Here is an 18,969-nt window from a genome sequence, read left to right as displayed (position 1 = left end):
AAATGGCAGACCTAAGCCTGATTATATCAATAATTAAATTAAGCGTGAACTGTCTACACACACTAATTAAAAGACAAAAATTGGCATTGTGAATGCACTGTGATGTTCATTGCAGCACTATTCACAATAGCGAAGACATTAACTCAATCTAGATGCCCATCAACAGTGGACTGGATAAATAAAATGTTGTACATATATACCATGTAATACTATGCAGTCATTAAAAAAGAACAAAATCATGTTGTTTGCAGCCACATGGATGCAGCTGGAGGCCATTATCCTAAGTGAATTAATGCAGGAACAGAAAACCAAATACAAATACCACATGTTCTCACTTCATAAGTGGGAGCTAAACATTGCATGCACATGGACATAAAGATGGGAACAATAGACACTGAGCACTGAGGACTACTAGAGCAGGGAGACTGTGAGGAGGGTGAGGGTTGAAAACTACCTATCACGTACAATGCTCACTACCCGGGTGATGGGATTATTCATACACAAAACCTCAGCAACACACAATTTATCCATGTAACAAACCTGCACATGTACCCTGAACCTAAAAGTTGAGAAAAAGTAAATAAATAAAATAAAATAACAAAAAAATAAACCAATTATATATGTCTGCAGAAATTCACTTCAAAATTAACTAAAGTAGCTTTGCATGAAAAAATATATTCATCCAAACATTAATCAAAATAAAATAGGAATGGCTATGTTAATGTCAAATAAAGCAGCCTTCAGAAGCAAAGAAAATTAGTAGAGACAAAGTAGGGCATTACATAATGATAGAAAGGGTCAATCCACCAAGAAGGCATGGTAATCTTAAATTTGTATGCACCAATGCACAAGCAATAGAGCTGTAAAATATGTGAAGCGAAACTGATAAAACTGAAAGGAGAAACAGACAAATCCGCAATTACAGTTGGAGACTTCGCCCCTCTCTCAGCAATTGCTGGAACTAGACAGAAAAAGAGAAAAAATATAGAACTTGGCATCATCAACCAAGTGAATCTGTAAACATTTACGAAACATTCTACCTAACAATAGCAGAATACACTTTTTTTTAAGTGCCCATAGAATATATAAAAAAACAGACCATATCCTGGGCCCTAAAATAAACCTAGGGAAATTTAACAGAATTGAAATGATGCAGAGTTTGTTCTTAAACCACAGTGGAATCAAGTTGGAAAACAGCAACAGATAGATAACAGAAAATCTCCAAACACCTCACACTTAAACAATACATTTCTAAATAATCCAAAGGTTAAAAGGGATGTCTCAAAAGAAATTTAAAAATACATTGAGCTGAATGAAAATAAAAACACAACATTTGAAAACTTGTGTGACACGATTAAAGCAATTGAGAAGAAAATGTTTTATGTTAGAAAAGACAAAAAAATCAAAATTCTATGATTTCAGACTGAGAACCTATAAAAAGAACAAAATTAACCCAAAGCAAGAAGAAAGGGAATAATAAAGGTAAGAGCAGAAATCAATGAAATTGAAACAGAAAATCAATAAAAGAAAAAGCCGGTACATTGAAAATATCAATAAAACAGACAAGCCTCTAGCAAGACTGACAAAAAAGATAGAGGATGCAAATTACTAACATCAGGAATGAAACAGGGGTTATCACTACAGACTCTGAGCATATCAAAAGGATAATAAGGAAACACTGTGAACAATTTATAGGTAAATGTGACAACCTAAATGAAATAAACCAGTTTCTCAAAAGTCACAAACTATTACAAACTACCTTACATAAGCTAGGTAATTGGAATAGCCATTTCACTATTAAGAAAATTGTATGCATAATTTAAAAAATCCCTCTACCCACTCCAAAAATCCTCAGGCTTACATGGTTTTACTAGAAAATCCTGTCAAACTTTTAAAGAGTTCAATTCTACACAATCTCTTTCTTTCATAAAATTAAACAAGCGGGGACACTCTCAAACTCATTTTATGCAGCTACTATTTTCCCGATACCAAGACAAAACAAAGGCAATACGATAAAGGAAACTACAGAATGATATTCCACATGAACATAGACACAAAAATCTTTACCCATAAAATAGAAATCAGCTATCTATATTTTTAAAAACTATATACCGTGACCAAGTAGGGCATGTTGCAGGGATTCAAAGCTGGTTCAAGACTCAAAAATAAGTTATACTACACTATTCTAATTTCTTCTGACATTGAATTTGGGGTTTCTTTGTTTGTCTGTTTTCTAGTTACTAGTTTGTTAATCTGGAAGACTTCTATATTGGTTTTAGAAGGGCCTTTATCTGTGATGTGTTACATAATTGCTCACCTATCCAAGAGTTAGGTTTTTATCTACCCACAAATTTAGATACTCCAAAGGTCAATATAAGAACTAAAGACAAACCAAACTAAACAGAACAAAAAACTTAAAGACAAAAAAAGGTGACTTTATATATCAAAAATTTGTTCCGTTATGCAGGATAATTTTTAAGAAAAACACCGACCAACTGAATTACATTGAGCTGAGGACAACCAGGAGGGTAGTTTGTGACTTATATCTCATGGAGTACATTAAAGGAAACAGATACTGAATTTAAAAAACAGGATATCCAAGGAAGGCATGAGAGATGTCCTCAGACAACAGAAAGGTGCTTGAGTAGAAGGCAAGTGTTTTGTGTTCCGGCGTCCATACTAAAACAAGTGACTGCAAGTGAAAAAGAAAGCTATTTCCTATAAATACGGAAAAATTTTTCTAACAATTAGAGCTGACAAAAACTTTTTTTTATGAATTAGTGAGTCTTGTATCTGCAAAAGTACTTGAGAAAATTCTGGGAAAGCACAAACAGAGATATTATAGTGGGGCTCCCTGTATGGGTGGGAGATTGAGCTAGCTGATACCCTAAGATCCCTTCCAACACAGATTCTGTGATCTTAAGGGAGCAAGGAATGGGCTGAGTTATTTTGATTTTCACTGAGTAGAGAAATCTTAAGCCCTATTTCTAGCCTAAATTGTCCTGTTGCTTGGCTTAAATGGTTTCAATTAGCTAATGTAGTGACGAGATTTAAATGATAAATGTTCACATTAACAAGATTCGAGATATGATCTTGACAGTCCTGCTAGACCGCTCTGCCGAAAAGCACTTCAGGAGCCCTACAAATAGCTCTCATTACTTTTCTCCGTTTTAAAATGATGTTTATTTTAATTTCTCAGAACTCTGGGTCCTATAATTACCTAAGGTTTATACGGCAGTGAACAACTAATTAGTCTATTTTTTTAAGGCAGATGATTCATATTCAGTAATATATCCAACGCTTGCCTCTGGTGCTAACCCAAGTCCTGGAGTTCTTCCTTAAATTGCAGTTGATCTTTGAACAACACAGGTCTGAACTGTGCAGGTTCAGTTACACACAAATATTCTTCCACCTCCACCACCTCTAATGCAGCAAGACTAGTCGCTCCTCTTTCTCCTCTTTCTCAGCCTACTTAATGTGAAGACAATGAGTATGAAGACCTTTGATGACCAACATCTACTTAATGCATTATAAATATATTTTCTCTTCCTTATGATTTTTTAAATAACATTTTCTTTTCTCTGGCTTACTTTATTCTAAGAATTCAGTATATAATACATGTAACACACAAAATATGTGTCAACTGTGTTATTGATGAGGCTTCTGGTCAACAGTAGGCTATTAGTTGTTAAGTCTTGGTACAGTCAAAACTTATGTATGCCTCCTAACTCCCACATTGTTCAAGGGTTGACTGTACAGTGCCTAACCTGTATGATACTGATTCATGTAGTATTTCTTCCTCTACTTCCTCTGATCTGCCAGGTTTAATCAGTGCCGCAATCACCACAGAGAGGGGCTGAGGTCCCAGTTCAAGAGCTGATGTGGAGAGATTGGTTTTGATCAGCTTTCAGTTACTAGTCTCAGAGGAAACACAGCCAAATGTTAACCCCACACCTTCTGATATGTAGCTTAGATTCAAATAAAAGTCAAAATAAGACTAGTGTATATTCTAAATTAACTGAATTGAATTTAATTTACTTCTCACAAAAGAAATGATTAACTATCATTTTCATTACATAGATGTGAACACTGATGTTCACAGGGTTACATAACCTGTATCTGAACACATTGTTAAAAAGAAGCAAAGCTAAAATTCGAACCCAGGTATGTCTAACTCAAAGTACACATCTCTGGAAATCTATTGAATTCCAGAATTATGGCAAGGCAGAAATAAAAGAGAAATAAAACTTTTTAATTCTCATGAATTGCCTTTGGCACCACATTGTGTGTGAGTGTAGATATGCAGGTACATGTTTTTCCATTGGAAGCAATAATATCACTGCTGTGGTATACTTTTTGTGGTAACACACTCATGTTTCTAATTCTTTATATTAATACCATTATCCTCACCACCTATTTTGTTTTATTTTGTTTTTGCACTTCAAGAACAACGTAAAATCAGAGCTCTGATTCAGAATATTTCCTTCATTGCTTATCTGGCTAAAGATCTGAAACCATGCTCAGCTGATGTAAACCATCTCCAAGACAATGCCTTGACTATTTCTCTCTTTGTTGAAATATTTTTATAAATTGGGCAGAGGAAAAGTCAATAGAAACAAATACCTGATTTACACATCTCTTAATTCTTATTCCTCAGTTTACCAACCAGTTATCATAAGGGTCAGCGGTAGAAATGCCCTTTAAGAGCAGAGGAAGTGTTGCATATAGTTAGGCAGACAGTGGCTTGGAAATAGGGTGTATTTCTTAGGAGGTAAATGATCCAATCAGATCCAATAGGGTGTATTTCTTAGGAGGCAAATGATCCAATCAGATGATTGATCTGACTGATCCAGTCTGCCCAGAGGGCCTAAATGGCACAGTGGTGGTGACTGTGGCTCCTTCCTCATCTTCTTTGGGCTGAGAGATCCAAGGCCTCTGTGACCTGGCCTCTGTTTACCTCTCCTCTCTCACTGCTGTGCTGCTCCCTCCCACATAGTTTATTTTCCTGCTAGTACACCATGCTGTTTCCACTTCTGGAACATAATTTTTTCTCTCACCTCAGTGCCTTTGCACATAGTATTCTCTGTGAGAGAAAGGAAACACTCTACTCTTTTTGTGTCAGACATCTAAATATTCTTCAAGATTCTATTCTGCTATCACCTACCCTCTTCCCTGCTGTCAGATTTACATGCTCCTCTTCGGCATTCTGGTAGCACCCTGTGCTTAAGTCCAAGAAGTCCTTACAATAATGTATTGTAATTATTGATTTGCTCATCTGATTTTCACATTAGATGCTAACCTTATTTTTGTTGCCCTAGAACCTAGCACATGACTTGGAACAAAGTTGGAAAAACAAGCAAAAGCTAGAAAGCAAGTCTTTTAGCCACATACTTTTTCTTTGTAAGGAACCTGAATTTTAGTCACAGCAATGCCACTAACTTACTGTGTCAACTTTCAAAGTCGCTCTTTGGGTGCCATTCTTCATCTGGAAAGTGAGATTATTTAACTAGATAATGACTAGTCAATATTTTTTATTAGAAGCAACACTCGTTTTTTCAACGAAATCATCCTGTAAAGGCCAAATAAAACTGTCTAGAGCCCTGCCCATTTAACCTCCCTTTTCCCATTGTCCTACTTCCACCCTCTCTTATGCTTGGAGCAGAGTTTGAAAACCGCAGATCTAGGTGATCTTTAAGGTTCCAGTCAGGCCAGCACTTTCAGATAATTTACACAGCGAACTGAACAGAATCCTTCCTCATGGATGTTTCCTTTTCCGGGTTCTGAGGTACATCTATACCCTCATTTGGTTTTAGTTTTGTAAACTCCAGTAATAGAGTATAGAAGTCATGTTATTCTGGAAGTCAATATGCTTAGTTTTGGCATTCAGAATGTTTGCTGGCTGGTTTATACGGATCTGTATTCTGTCTTATTAATGAAGAAAAAGAATGGCACATATATCTTGGCTTTGAAATTGGAGCCACATTTTAGAATCCTGTGCGGAATCAAGGCACATAATGGTAGCTAAGAGCCAGGAATAGAAGAAATTTCAGTGTTTCTATATGCATAGTTTTTAATTCCTTGTGGTTTGTGAAAGGTGCTAGATAAATTTATTATTGACCTAAGTAGTCAATTAAATGTTGGCACAGAGAGAACACCAGTGTATTTCTTTCATGATATGATGGAATAATTAAAATACAGTAATATGAGATCATTGTTTTTAACTTGCATCTGGTTGGTTGTTTGGTTCATAGGACAGAAAAGATTAGTTTAAAATTTATAGGAGACAAATATAAGTAACTGTAGAATCTGCATCATTTTAAGCTATAATTTTTATGACTGCTAATTATATGAATAGCATCATTTATCAGTTTTCTTCTGAGGACCAGGTTTTATATATCTGAATCCTTCTAATTGATTACATAAAGAGATTACTACTACTAGCCTCATGAGATTAGTACTATTATGCCCATGTTATAAATAAGGAAATGAATCCTAGAGATGTTTAAGAACTTACTATAGTTCACATGGCTTCTGAAGGTGGAGTACATAATAGAAGTGTCAATAGTACATGGAATAAACTACATATTATTTTTAATAGATTTTTTTGTAGAGCAATTTTAGGTTCACACAAAATTGAGAGGAAAGTAGAGAGATTTCCTGTTTATCCTCTTCCCCCACATGCTTAGCACCACCTATTATAAAACTCCCCACCCAGGATGGTACATTTATTGCAACTGATGGACCTCCATTAACACATCATTATCTCCCAGAGTCCACACTTTACAGTACAGTTTGTTCTTGGTGTTGTGCATCCTGTGGGTTTGGACAAACGTATAATGACATGTATTCACCATTATAACATCATAGAGAGTAGTTTCACTGCCCTAAAAATCCTCTGCACTCTGCCTCCCTTCCCCAACTCCTGGCAACCACTAATCTTTTTTGTGACTCCATAGTTTTGTCCTTTCGAGAATGTCATATAGGTAGAATGAAACATTATGTAGTCTTTTCAGATTGGCTTCACTTCCATTTAAGTTTCTTTCATGTATTTTCATGGCTTCATAGCTCATTTCCTTTTATGACTGAATAATAACTTTCTATTATCTGGCTATACCAAAATTTATTTATCCATTCACCTGAAGGACATCTTGGTTGCTTTCAGGTTTTGACAATTACAAATAAAGCTGCTATAAACATTCATGTCCAAGTTTTTGTGCGCACATAGGCTTTCAGCTTCTTTGGAAAAATACCAACGCAAGCAAGTGTTGAATTGTATGGTAAGAGTATGATTAGTTTTGTAAAGCACCTCCAAATTGTATTTCATAGTGGCAGTATCATTTTGCATTTCCATCAGCAATGTATGAGAGTTTCTGTTGTTTTGCCAGCATTTGATGTTGTGGATTTTGGTCATTCAGATAGGTTATAGTTGTATCTCACTGTTGTTTTAATTTGAACTTTCTTATGACATATGATGCGGAGCATCTTTTCATATGCTTATTTACCATCTATGTATCTTCTTTGGTGAGTTGTCAAGGTCTTTGGCCTATTTTTCAATTAGGTTGTTCATGTTATTATTGTTGAGTTTAAGAGTTCTTAGTGTATCTTGCATAACAATTCTTTATCTCATATGTGTTTTGCCAACTTATCCAAATCTGTGGCTTGTCGCTTATCATTTTATCTTCTTGACAGTGTCATTCACAGAGAAGAAATTTTTCATTTTAATAAAGTCCAGTTTATCAATTATTTCTTTCATAGACCATGACTTTGGTGTATGTTTTATTTTGTTTTGTGCTGCTATAACAGAATACCTGAGACTGGCTATTTTATAAAAGACGGAAATTTATTTCCTCACAATTCTGTAGGCTAGGACGTCCAAAAATCAAGGTATTAGCATCAGGTGAGGGCCTTCTTGCTTCACCATAACATGGTGAAAGGCATCACATGGGTGAGAGAGAGAGCAAAAGGACACCCAAACTCAACTTTTTATGAAGAACTCACTCCCATCATAACAGCATTAATCCATCTGTAAGGGTGGAGATCTAATGGCCTAATCACCTTTTACAGGTCCCATCTCTTAACACTGTTGGATTGGGTATTAAGTTTACAATGCATGCTTGTTTGGGGAAGTGCATTTAAACCATAGCAGTATTCCATCTAAATGTGATTGCCAAACCCCAAATTATTTAGATTTTCTTTTTTGTTATCTTCTCAGAGTCTTATGGTTTTTAATTTTACTTTAGACCTGTCACACATTTTGAATTAATTTTTGTGAAGGGTGTAAAATCTGTATCTATACTCCTTTTTTGCATGTGGAAGTTCAGTTGTTTCAGTGGCATTTGATGAAAAAAAAATTTTCTCCATTGTATTGCCTTAACTCCTTTGTCAAAGATCAGTTGACTATATTTGGGTCAATTTCAGGGATCTCTATTCTGTTTCATTGATCTATTTGTCAATTCTTTCACCAATACTACACTGTCTTGATTGCTATAATTTATAGTATGTTTTGAAGTCAAGTAGTGTCAGCCCTCCAACTTTATTCTTCTCTTTCAGTATTGTGTTGGCTATTCTATGTCTTTTGCCCATTCATATAAACTTCGGAATGAGTTTGTCATTATCCACAAAGTGACTTGCTGGAATTTTGATTGAGATTCCATTGAATCAAATTGGGAAGAACTGACATCTTGACAGTATTGAGTCTTTCTATGCATGAATATGGAATATCTCTCCATTTATTTAATTCTTCATTGATTTCTTTCATCATAGTTGTATAGTTTTCCTCATATAGACCTTACGCATACTTTGTTAGATTTATACCTAAGTATTCCATTTTTGGGTTGCCCAATGTAAATGGTATTGTGTTCTTAATTTCAAACTCCACTTGCTCATAGCTGTTATATAGGAAAGCGATGGGCTTTTTTGTCTTAACCTTATATCCTGCAACCTTGCTATAATTGCTTATTAATTTCAGAAGTTTTTGTCAATTATTTTGGATTTTCTACATAAACAAACATGCAATCTGTGCACAAAGGCAGTTTTGTTTTTTCATTCCAATCTATCACCATTTACTTCCTTTTGTCTTATTGCATCAACTAGGACTTCCAGTATGGAAAAGCAGTCATGAGAGGAGATATCCTTGATTTGTTCCTGATACTAGTGGGAAAGCTTTGAGTTTCTTACTTTTAAATATAATCTTAGCTTAGGTTTATTATAGATATTCTTTATCAAGTTGAACAAGTTTCCCTCTTTTCCTGGTTTACTGAGAGTTTTTATCATGAATAGGTGTTAGATTTTTGCAGATAGTTTTTCTGTATTTGTTGGAAAGATTATATGATTTTTCTTCATTACCCTTGTATTAGTTCATTTTGTGTTGCTATAAAGGAATACCTGAGGCTGGGTAATTTATAAAGAAAAGAGGTTTATTTTGGCTCACAGTTCTGACTGTACAAGAAGCATAGTGCTGGCATCTGCTCCTGGTGAAGGCCTCAGGAAGCTTACAGTCATGGCAGAAGGTGAAGGGGGAGCAGTCATGTCACATGGTGAGACAGGCAGCAAGAAATATGCCAGGCTTTTTTAACCAGCTCTTATGTGAATTAATGGAGTGAGAACTTACTCATTATCATGGGGAGGGCACCAACCCATTCATGAGAGATCTGCCCTCATGACTGCCCCCATGACCTAAACACCACCTACCAGGCCCCACCTTCCACATTGAGGATCACATTTCAACATGATATTTGGAGGGGACAAACATCCAAACTATATCAATTCTTTTGATGTAATGGGTTACATTAATTGATTTTTGAACATTGAACCAGGCCTGCATACTGAAGATAAATCTCACTTGGTTGTGGTTTACAGTTCTTTCTATACATTGCTGAATTCAATTTGCTATTATTTTATTGATGTTTTTGCATCTATACTCATGAGAGGTACTGGCCTGTAGTTTTCTTTCCTTGTGCTGTCTTTGTCTGGCTTTGGTATTAGGGACATGCTGGCCTCATAGAATGAGTTAGGAAGTATTCCATCTGCATCTGTCTTCTGAAAGAGAAGGTGCAGAATTAGTGAACTTTCTTACTTAATTTTTTTGGTAGAATTCACCAGAGAACACATCTGGGCCTGGTGCTTTCTGTTTTGGAAGGTTATTAATTGTTCATTCAATTTCTTCAATAGATGTAGGCCTATTCAGATTGTTTATTTCTTCTTGTGTGAGTTTTGGCAGATGGTGTCTTTCAAGGAAGGGTCTATTTCATCTAGGTTAACAAATGTATGCACATAGAATTGTTCATAGTATTCCTTTATCATCCTTTTAACATCTATGGGATTCGTAGTGATGTCCCCACTTTTGTTTCTGATGGAATAACCTGTGTTCTCTCTCTTTTTATTTTTTTTAGTTAGCTCATGAAAGACTCATCAATTTTACTGATTTTTTTTTTCATAAAACCATCTTTTGGCTTCAAGAATTTTCTCTATTGATTTCATGTTTTCAATTTTATTGATTTCTGCTCTAATTGTTATTATTTCTTTGCTTCTCCTCACTTTGGATTTAGTTTGCTCTTCTTTTTCTGGCCTCCTAAGGCAGAAGTAATTGATTTTAGTTATTTCTTCTTTTCTAATATATGTATTTAATTGCAAAATTGCACTCCTTTTTATTGCATTTCCCAAATTTTGATAAGTTTTGTTTCTATTTTTCTTTAGTTCAAAGTATTTTTAATGTCTCTGAAGATTCCTTCTTTGAGCCATGTGTTATTTAGAAGTAGGTTGTTTGATCTTCAAGCATTTTGAGGCTTTTTGGGTTTTTCTATTATTTATTTTTAGTTTAGTTCCACTCTGCTCTAACAAGGTATTTTGTATAATTTTCAATCATATTTTATTTGTTAAGGTGTATTTTACAGTTCAGCATGTGCTCGATCTTGATAAACATTTCATGTGAGCTTGAGAAGAAAAGTACTATAACGTACTCTACACATGTCAGTTATACCTAGTTGATTGATGATGCTGTTCAGTTCAACTATGTCCTTACTGATTTTCTGCCTGCTGAATCTGTCTATATCTGAGAGAGGAGTGTCGAAGTCTCCAATCATAATAGTGGATTTGTCTATTTCTCCTTGTAGTTCTATCGCTTTTTTTTGCCTCATATATTTCAACTATGTCCTTACTGATTTTCTGCCTGCTGAATCTGTCTATATCTGAAAGAAGAGTGTCAAAGTCTCCAACCATAATAGTGGATTTGTCTATTTCTCCTTGTAGTTCTATCAGTTTTTTGCCTCATGTATTTCAACATTCTGTTGTTAAGCACATAAACATTCATTAAGAATTGTTATGTCTTCTTGTGGAACTGACACTTTATTATCATATAATGCTCCTCTTTTTCCCTGATAACCTTCAGTGGTTTAAACTCTGCTCTGCCTGAAATTAATATAGCTACTTCTGCTTTCTTTTGATTCGTCTTAACACAGTATGTATTTCTCCATTCATTTACATTTAATTTATATGTGTCTTTATATTTAAAGTGGGCTTCTGGTATACAATATATAGTTGGATCTTGTTTCATGATGCACTGGAACACTAAGTATCTTCTAATTGGTGCATTTAGACCATTGACCATCAATGGTCTATTCAGATTGTTTATTTCTTGATATAAATAATATAGTTGGTTTAATATCTACTGTATATAGTTGGATTGATATAGTTGGGTTAATATCTACTGTATCCATTACTGTTTTTTATTTGTTGCCCTTGTTCATTGTTCTTCTTTTTGTCTTCTACTTTTTTCTGCCTTTTGTGGGTTTAATTGAGCATTTTATTATTCCATTTCCTCTCTTTTGTTACCATATTAAACTATTTTTCATCTTTTTTTTAGTGCTTACCCTGGAGTTTGCAATGTACATTTACAACTAATCCAAATTTAGTTTCAAATAATGCTATAACACTTCACAAGTAATGCTAGTACCTCATAATAAATAAATAATTCTCCCATCACATTTATATTATCATTGCTATAATTTATCTTGCTTATACGTAGACATATATATACACACACATATAATCTAATACATTGCTACTATTATTTTTTGAAAAAGCTGTTCAATCTGTTGCATTAAGAATAAAAAATATGGGTGGTTCCAAGATGGCCGAATAGGAACAGCTCCAGTCTACAGCTCCCAGCGTGAGTGACGCAGAAGATGGATGATTTCTGCATTTCCAACTGAGGTACCAGGTTCATCTCACTGGGGATTGTCGGACAGTGGGTGCAGGACAGTCATTCTCAGCAAACTATCACAAGGACAAAAAACCAAACACCGCATGTTCCCACTCATAGGTGGGAATTGAACAATGAGAACACATGGACACAGGAAGGGGAACATCACACACCAGGGCCTGTTGTGGGGTGGGGAGAGGTGGGAGGGATAGCATTAGGAGATACACCTAATGTAAATGACAAGTTAATGGGTGCAGCACACCAACATGGCACATGTATACATATGTAACAAACCTGCACATTGTGCACATGTACCCTAAAACTTAAAGTATAATAATAATAAAAAAAGAATAAAAAATATATACCTTTATTTTACCTTCCCTTATTCCTTCTCAGATACTTTTCCTTATTTTATGTAGACCTGAGTTTCTGATCTTTATCATTTTCCTTTTTATTAAATAATTTCTTTTAACATTTCTTTCAAGGCAGGTCTACTAGCAACAAATCCCTTCAGTTTTTGTTTGTCTGAGAAAGTCTTTATTTATTTGTCACTTTTGAAGGATAGTTTCACAAGGTACAGAACTTTATGTTGGTGGTTTCTTCTCTCAACACTTTAAATATTGTACTCCACTCTCATCTTGCTAGCATAATTTCTGAGGGGAGGTTGGAATTATTATCTTTGCTCCTCAATAGGTAAGGTGTTTTTTCCTCTCTGACTTCTTCCAAGATCTTTTCCTTATTTTTAATTGTCTATAGTTTGAAAATAATATGGCCAAGTGTAATATTTTTGACATTTCTCCTGCTCAGCATTCTCTGAACTTCCTCAATATGTGGTTTGGTGTCTGACATTAATTTGAGGAAATTATGTCATTACTCTTTCAAATATTTATTTTATATTAACATATTCTAAATATTTTCTTTGTCTCATCTGCTTCTGGTATTCCCCTTACACACATGTTACACCTTTGTTAGTTGTCCCACAGTTATTGGATATTCTGCTTTATTTTATCAGTCTTTTTTTCTTTGATTTCCAATTTTGTTGGTTTCAATTGAGATACTCTCAAGCTCTGAGATTCTGTCCTCAGCCATATCTAGTCTACCAATAATTCCATTAGAGAAATTCATTTTTGTTACAGTTTTGTTTTATTGCTAGAACTTATTTTTTGGTTCTTTCTTAGAAATTCTATCTCTCCACTTACATTGTCCATCGGTTCTTGCATGCTGTCTACTTTATTCATTACAACCCTTAGCATCTTAATCATAGTTGTTTTACATTCTCAGTCAGATAATTCCAACATTCTTGCCATATCTACATCTCATTCTGAAGCTTTCTCTTCAATCTCTGTTTTTCCCTTTTAGTGTTTTTTGTAATTTTTTATTGATAGCTGGACATGATATATTAGAATAAAGGGATTGCAGTAAATAGGCTTTTAGTAATGTGATGCTAGGCTGTGGAGGGAAGGGAAGCATTCTCTAGTCCTGTGAGGAGGTCCCAGTCTTCCAGTGAGCCTGTACCTCTGGACTGTGAACATCATATGTGCTTCTCAGTGTCCTCCCACCCCTGCTTTGGTGGAACAGGATAGCTAGAGGGTGCTGGACTTGGGTATTTTCCTCATTCTAGGGCAGTTAGGCTCTGACAAAACTCCAGAAGGTTAGTTTCTCCTGAGGACAGGCCTTGTTAAGGAGAACAGAATGCTCTGGCATATTTTTAAATGATTTATATTTCCCTGGTCCTTGCCAGAAGCACAAGGAGATTTTTCTTTATTTACAGTAAGAACCTGGTTGATATGGTTTGGTTGTGTCCCCACCCAAATCTCATGTTGAATTCCCATGTGTTGTGGGAGTGACCTGGTGAGAGGTGATTGAATCATGGTGGCAGGCTTCTCCCATGATATTCTCATGTCAGTGAATAAGTCTCACCAGATCTGATGGTTTAAAAACGGGGAGTTTCCCTGCATAAGCTCTCTTCTCTTGTCTGTGGTCATGTGAGATCTGCCTTTCACTTTCTATCATGATTGTGAGGCCTCCCCAGCCACATGGAACTGTGAGTCCAATAAACTTATTTCTTTTGTAAATTGCCCAGTTTCAAGTATGTCTTTATCAGCTGTGTGAAAATGGGCAAATATAGTAAATTGTTACTGAGAGCATGGCACTGCTGAAGATACACAAAAATGTGGAAGCAACTTTGGAACTGGGTAACAGACAGAGGTTGGAAGAGTTTGGAGGGCTCAAAAGAAGACAGGAAAATGTGGGAAAGTTTGGAACTTCCTAGAGGCTTGTTGAATGGCTTTGACAAAAATGCTAATAGCAATATGGACAATAAGGTCCAGGCTGAGGTGGTCTCAGGTGGAAATGAGGAACTTGTTGGGAACTGGAGCAAAGGTGACTCTTGTTATGTTTTAGCAAAGAGACTGGCAGTATTTTTTGCCCCTGCCCTAGAGATTTGTGGAACTTTGAACTGGAGAGAGATGATTTAGGGTATCTGGTGGAAGACATTTCTAAGCAGCAAAGCATTCTAGGAGTGACTTGGGTGCTGTTAAAGGCATTCAGTTTTAAAATGGAAACAGAGCATATAAGTTTGGAAAATTTGCAGCCTGACAATGAGATAGAAAAGAAAATTCAATTTTCCAAGAAGAAATTCAAACCAACTGAAGAAATTTGCATAAGTAATGAGAAGCCAAATGTTAATCCCCAAGACAATGGGGAAAATGTCTCCAGGGCATGTCAGAGGTCTTCATGGCACCCCTCTCATTACAGGCCTGGAGGTCTAGAAGGAAAAAATGGTTTTGTGTGCCAGGCCCAGGGTCCCCATTCTGTGTGCAGCCTAGGGACTTGATGCCCTGCATCTCAGCTGCTCCAGCCATGGCTAAAAGGGGCCAACATAGAGCTCAGGCCATGGCTTCAGAGGGTGTAAGCCCCAAGCCTTGGAAGCTTCCATGTGGTGTTGAGCCTGTGAGTGCATAGAGTCAAGAATTGGGGTTTGGGAAGCTCTGCCTAGATTTCAGAGGATGTATGGAAACTCCTGGATGTCCAGGAAGAAGTTTGCTGCTGGGGCAGGGCCCTCATGAATAACCTCTGCTAAGGCAGTGCGGAAGGGAAATTTGGGGTAGGTTCTCCCACACAGAGTCCCTACTGGGACACTACCTAGTGGAGCTGTGAGAAGAGGGCCACCACCCTCCAGGCCCCAGGTTGGTAGATCCACCAACAGCTTACACCGTGCACCTAGAAAAGCTGCAGACACTCAATGCTAACCCATGGAAGCAGCTGGAAAGGAGGCTATACCCTGAAAAACCACAGGGTCAGAGCTGCCCAAGACCATAGGAACCCACCTCTTGCATCAATGTGACCTGGATGGGAGACACAGAGTTAATATCATTTTGGAGCTTTAAGATTTGACTGCCCTGCTGGATTTTAGACTTGCATGGGGCCATAGCACTTTGTTTTTGCTAATTCCACCCATTTGTAATGGCTGTATTTACTCTATGCCTGTACCCCCATTGTATCTAAGAAGTAACTAACTTGGTTTTGATTTTACAGGCTCATAGGCAGGAAGGACTTGCCTTGTCTCAGATGAGACTTTGGACTGTGGGCTTTTGAGTTAATGCTGAAATGAATTAAGACTTTGAGGGATGGTTGGGAAGGCATGATTGGTTTTTAAATGTGAGGACATGAGATTTGGGAGGGGCCAGGAGCAGAATGATATGGTTTGGCTGTGTCCTCACCCAAATCTCATCTTGAATTGTAGCTCCCATAATTCCCATGTTTTGTGGGAGGGACCTGGTGGCAGGTAATTGAATCATGGGGGCAGGCCTTTCCCATACTGAAGGCCTTTCCCATTCACTATCTCATGATAGTGAATAAGTCTCATGAAATCTGTTGGTTTTAAGAAGGAGAGTTTCCATGCACACGCTCTCTTCTCTTGTCTGCTGCCATGTGAGATGTGACTTTCACCTTCTGCCATGATTGTGAGGCCTCCCCAGCCACATGGAACTGTGAGTCCAATAAACCTCTTTCTTTTGTAAACTTCCCAGTCTCGGGTATGTCTTTATCAGCAGTGTGAAAATGGACTAATACACTGATTGAGCTCCTGGAGGTCAAACTTACAAAAGTGCGAGGAGACTCTGATGACTGGGTACCCCTGGAATTTTTTATCTGTCAGACTTGTCCATGCTAAGCCTCCAGCAATTTATCCCTTATAGTTCAGGTTTCTCCACCTTGGCACTGATTTCAGCGGAAGTTTGTGCTTATGGATTTCTGTTCTAGCAAGCCACAATTCTCTGAATTTGAATGTTGGGCTCTCCAATTTAGGAGCAGTGGTTTGCCCTGTGACCACAACCCACTGATGTATCTAAGAATAATTGTTGACCCTTCAGTTTGTTCAGTTTTTTACTTGTCAGGACAGAGTGGCAACTTCCAGCTTCTTATATGCTGGACTGAAAACCAAAAGTTCCATGTATTATTTTATGAAATATAAAATATTTTGGAGGAATGTTAAAATTAAAAAATTTACTTCAAGGCAAGAGATTAAAACTTCCACTATAAACTTTGCTAACACCCATAATGGAGTGTATAGTACTATAGCACTAAACTTGTTTTCCTCTGGCTTATAACTAGAAAACTGCACAATCTATGTAAACAACTCTTTTCTCATGTTGAACAGGAGGCAGCCCAGAAGTGTGATCCTTGATATAAGAGAACAAATAAAATAAGTCCTACAACTGTCCCAACTTTCTGCCTGCAGGAATTTTCTGGATCATTATGGAGGAAGAGGGGGAGCCCAAACAAAACACCGGACTCTGAAACAAGTCGACAGAAATCGGGCTTTGGGAGACTGAAACACACGTAATTTTCAAGGTAAAGTAATAGAATGAGGCAGAGAATAACTGTCATAGAAAGAACGATTACCATAAAGCTGTAAGGTGAACAATTCCCAGAGCTCACACAGGGCTGTGACTCCTTCTAAACAGCCAGAGTAAAGAAATCTTGTTTAATATCTGGGGAATTCAGTAAGAACCCCAGAAGCATGATACCTCTGTACTAAACATAAACTAGGCCTAGAATAAAGGTTAATTTCGGCTGCCTTTTAAAATCCTTCAAATTAAGCCTCAACATAATCAAACTAATCTGCAAGAAACTTTATAACCTGCCTAAACCAAGTTCAACTATCTTTAAAAGATGACAGCCAGGCACGGTGGCTCACGCCTGTAATCCCAGCACTTTGGGAGGCCGAGGTGGGTGGATCATGAGGTCAGGAGATCGAGACCATCCTGGCTAACACGGTGAAACCCCCTCTCTACTAAATAATACAAAAAATTAGCCGGGTGTGGTGGTGGGCACCTGTAGTCCCAGCTACTCAGGAGGCCAAGGCAGGAGAATGGTGTGAACCTGGGAGGCAGAGTTTGCAGTCAGCTGAGATCACGTCACTGCATTCTAGCCTGGGTGACAGAATGAGACTCTGTCTCAAAAAAGAAAAAGAGAAAAAATGACAACAAAACAATGTTATGTCCACAGATTCAGCATCTAATGAAAAATTATAATATATATGAAGAAGCATAAAAAATTGACCTATAGAGGGAAAAAACAGTCAATATAAACAGACACAGAAGTGTAAAAACTGATAAAGTTGACTGATAAGGACCTTAAGACAGCTGTTAGAAATACAACCAAGGTTTCAGAATAAATCATGATCAAAATATACAGAAAAATGAAACATTTAAAAACTCTAAAATTTAAAAATGCAATATCTAAAAAATTGTTTGAATCAGTGGATGGTATTAATAGCAGAGTAGACACTGCAAAAGAACTTGAAGACATAACAATGAACAGTGAACTTGGAGACATAGTAATGGAACTCATCCAAACTGAAGCACAAAGAAAAAAGGTTGAAAAAATAATCAAAATCACAGTAACATGAGACAATACTAAGTATGCTAATATACATTTAACTGAAGTCCCAGAAAAAGAAAGGGGATGGTCAGAAAACTCATTTGAAAAATAATGGTTACATTTTTAAATCAATTTCATAAAATCCCATATCCTTTTTTGGAAGCTAAAAAAAACAGCAAGATAAAAAAAAAAAAACCAAACGAACAAAAAGTCACACCGAGGCACATCATAATCAAACTGCTAAAAATCAGTAATTGAAAACAACCTTAAAAGCAGCTGGGAAGGGGGGTGGGGGAAGACACATCACTTACATAAAAACAAATAAAGAATGTTTTGTAACTTTTCTTCAAAATAGAGGTAAAAGGAATACAGAACAAATTAGGCAAATGGAAAATAAATAGCAAGATGGTAGACTTAAATCAAATCATGCCAATACTTACATAAAATGAAAATGGTCTAAAAACTCCAATTGAAAGGCAGAGAAAGTCAGACTGGATAATAAAGCAAGACACTATATTGTCTACAAGAAACTCATATAAGTATAAAGACACAGACTTAGAGTAATTGTAAGCAAACAGGAGTAGCTGTATTATCAAAACAGAGTAAAAGTAAGGAAGCTGGAATAGCTATATTATTATCAAAAAGAGTAGACTTTAAGATAAGAATATGACCAGAAATAAGTGGCATTTCATAGTTATAAATGGTCCACCAACTCATTAATATGATGTAATAGTCTTAATGCATATGTACCTAATAACAGGGCTTCAAAATTCATGTAGCAAATACTGACATCTAAAGAGATAAATAAACATATCCACAATTATAGCTGGAAATTTCATGACCTTTTCTCTAAATAACTGATAAAACAAGTAGACAGAAAATCA

At 36.5% G+C, this 18,969-nt stretch overlaps 2 long non-coding RNA genes across 2 annotated transcripts in view; one reads left to right on the top strand and one right to left on the bottom strand.

The window, feature by feature from the left end:
- The window catches only part of LOC105378761 (uncharacterized), a 94,372-nt gene extending 77,054 nt beyond the window's left edge, over positions 1-17,318 (top strand). Inside the window, exon 3 of the long non-coding RNA XR_947431.2 lies at positions 16,941-17,318. This is a non-coding gene — a long non-coding RNA (uncharacterized LOC105378761). The remainder of the gene's footprint in view (positions 1-16,940) is intronic.
- The window catches only part of LINC02778 (long intergenic non-protein coding RNA 2778), a 144,047-nt gene that overhangs the window by 58,830 nt on the left and 66,248 nt on the right, over positions 1-18,969 (bottom strand). The window lies entirely within an intron of this gene.

The sequence above is a fragment of the Homo sapiens genome, chromosome 1 (genome assembly GCF_000001405.40).
Source record: "Homo sapiens chromosome 1, GRCh38.p14 Primary Assembly".
Taxonomy (NCBI): domain Eukaryota; kingdom Metazoa; phylum Chordata; class Mammalia; order Primates; family Hominidae; genus Homo; species Homo sapiens.
The sequence above is the reverse complement of the archived record's forward strand: the minus strand, read 5'-3'. Positions and strand labels throughout refer to the sequence as shown.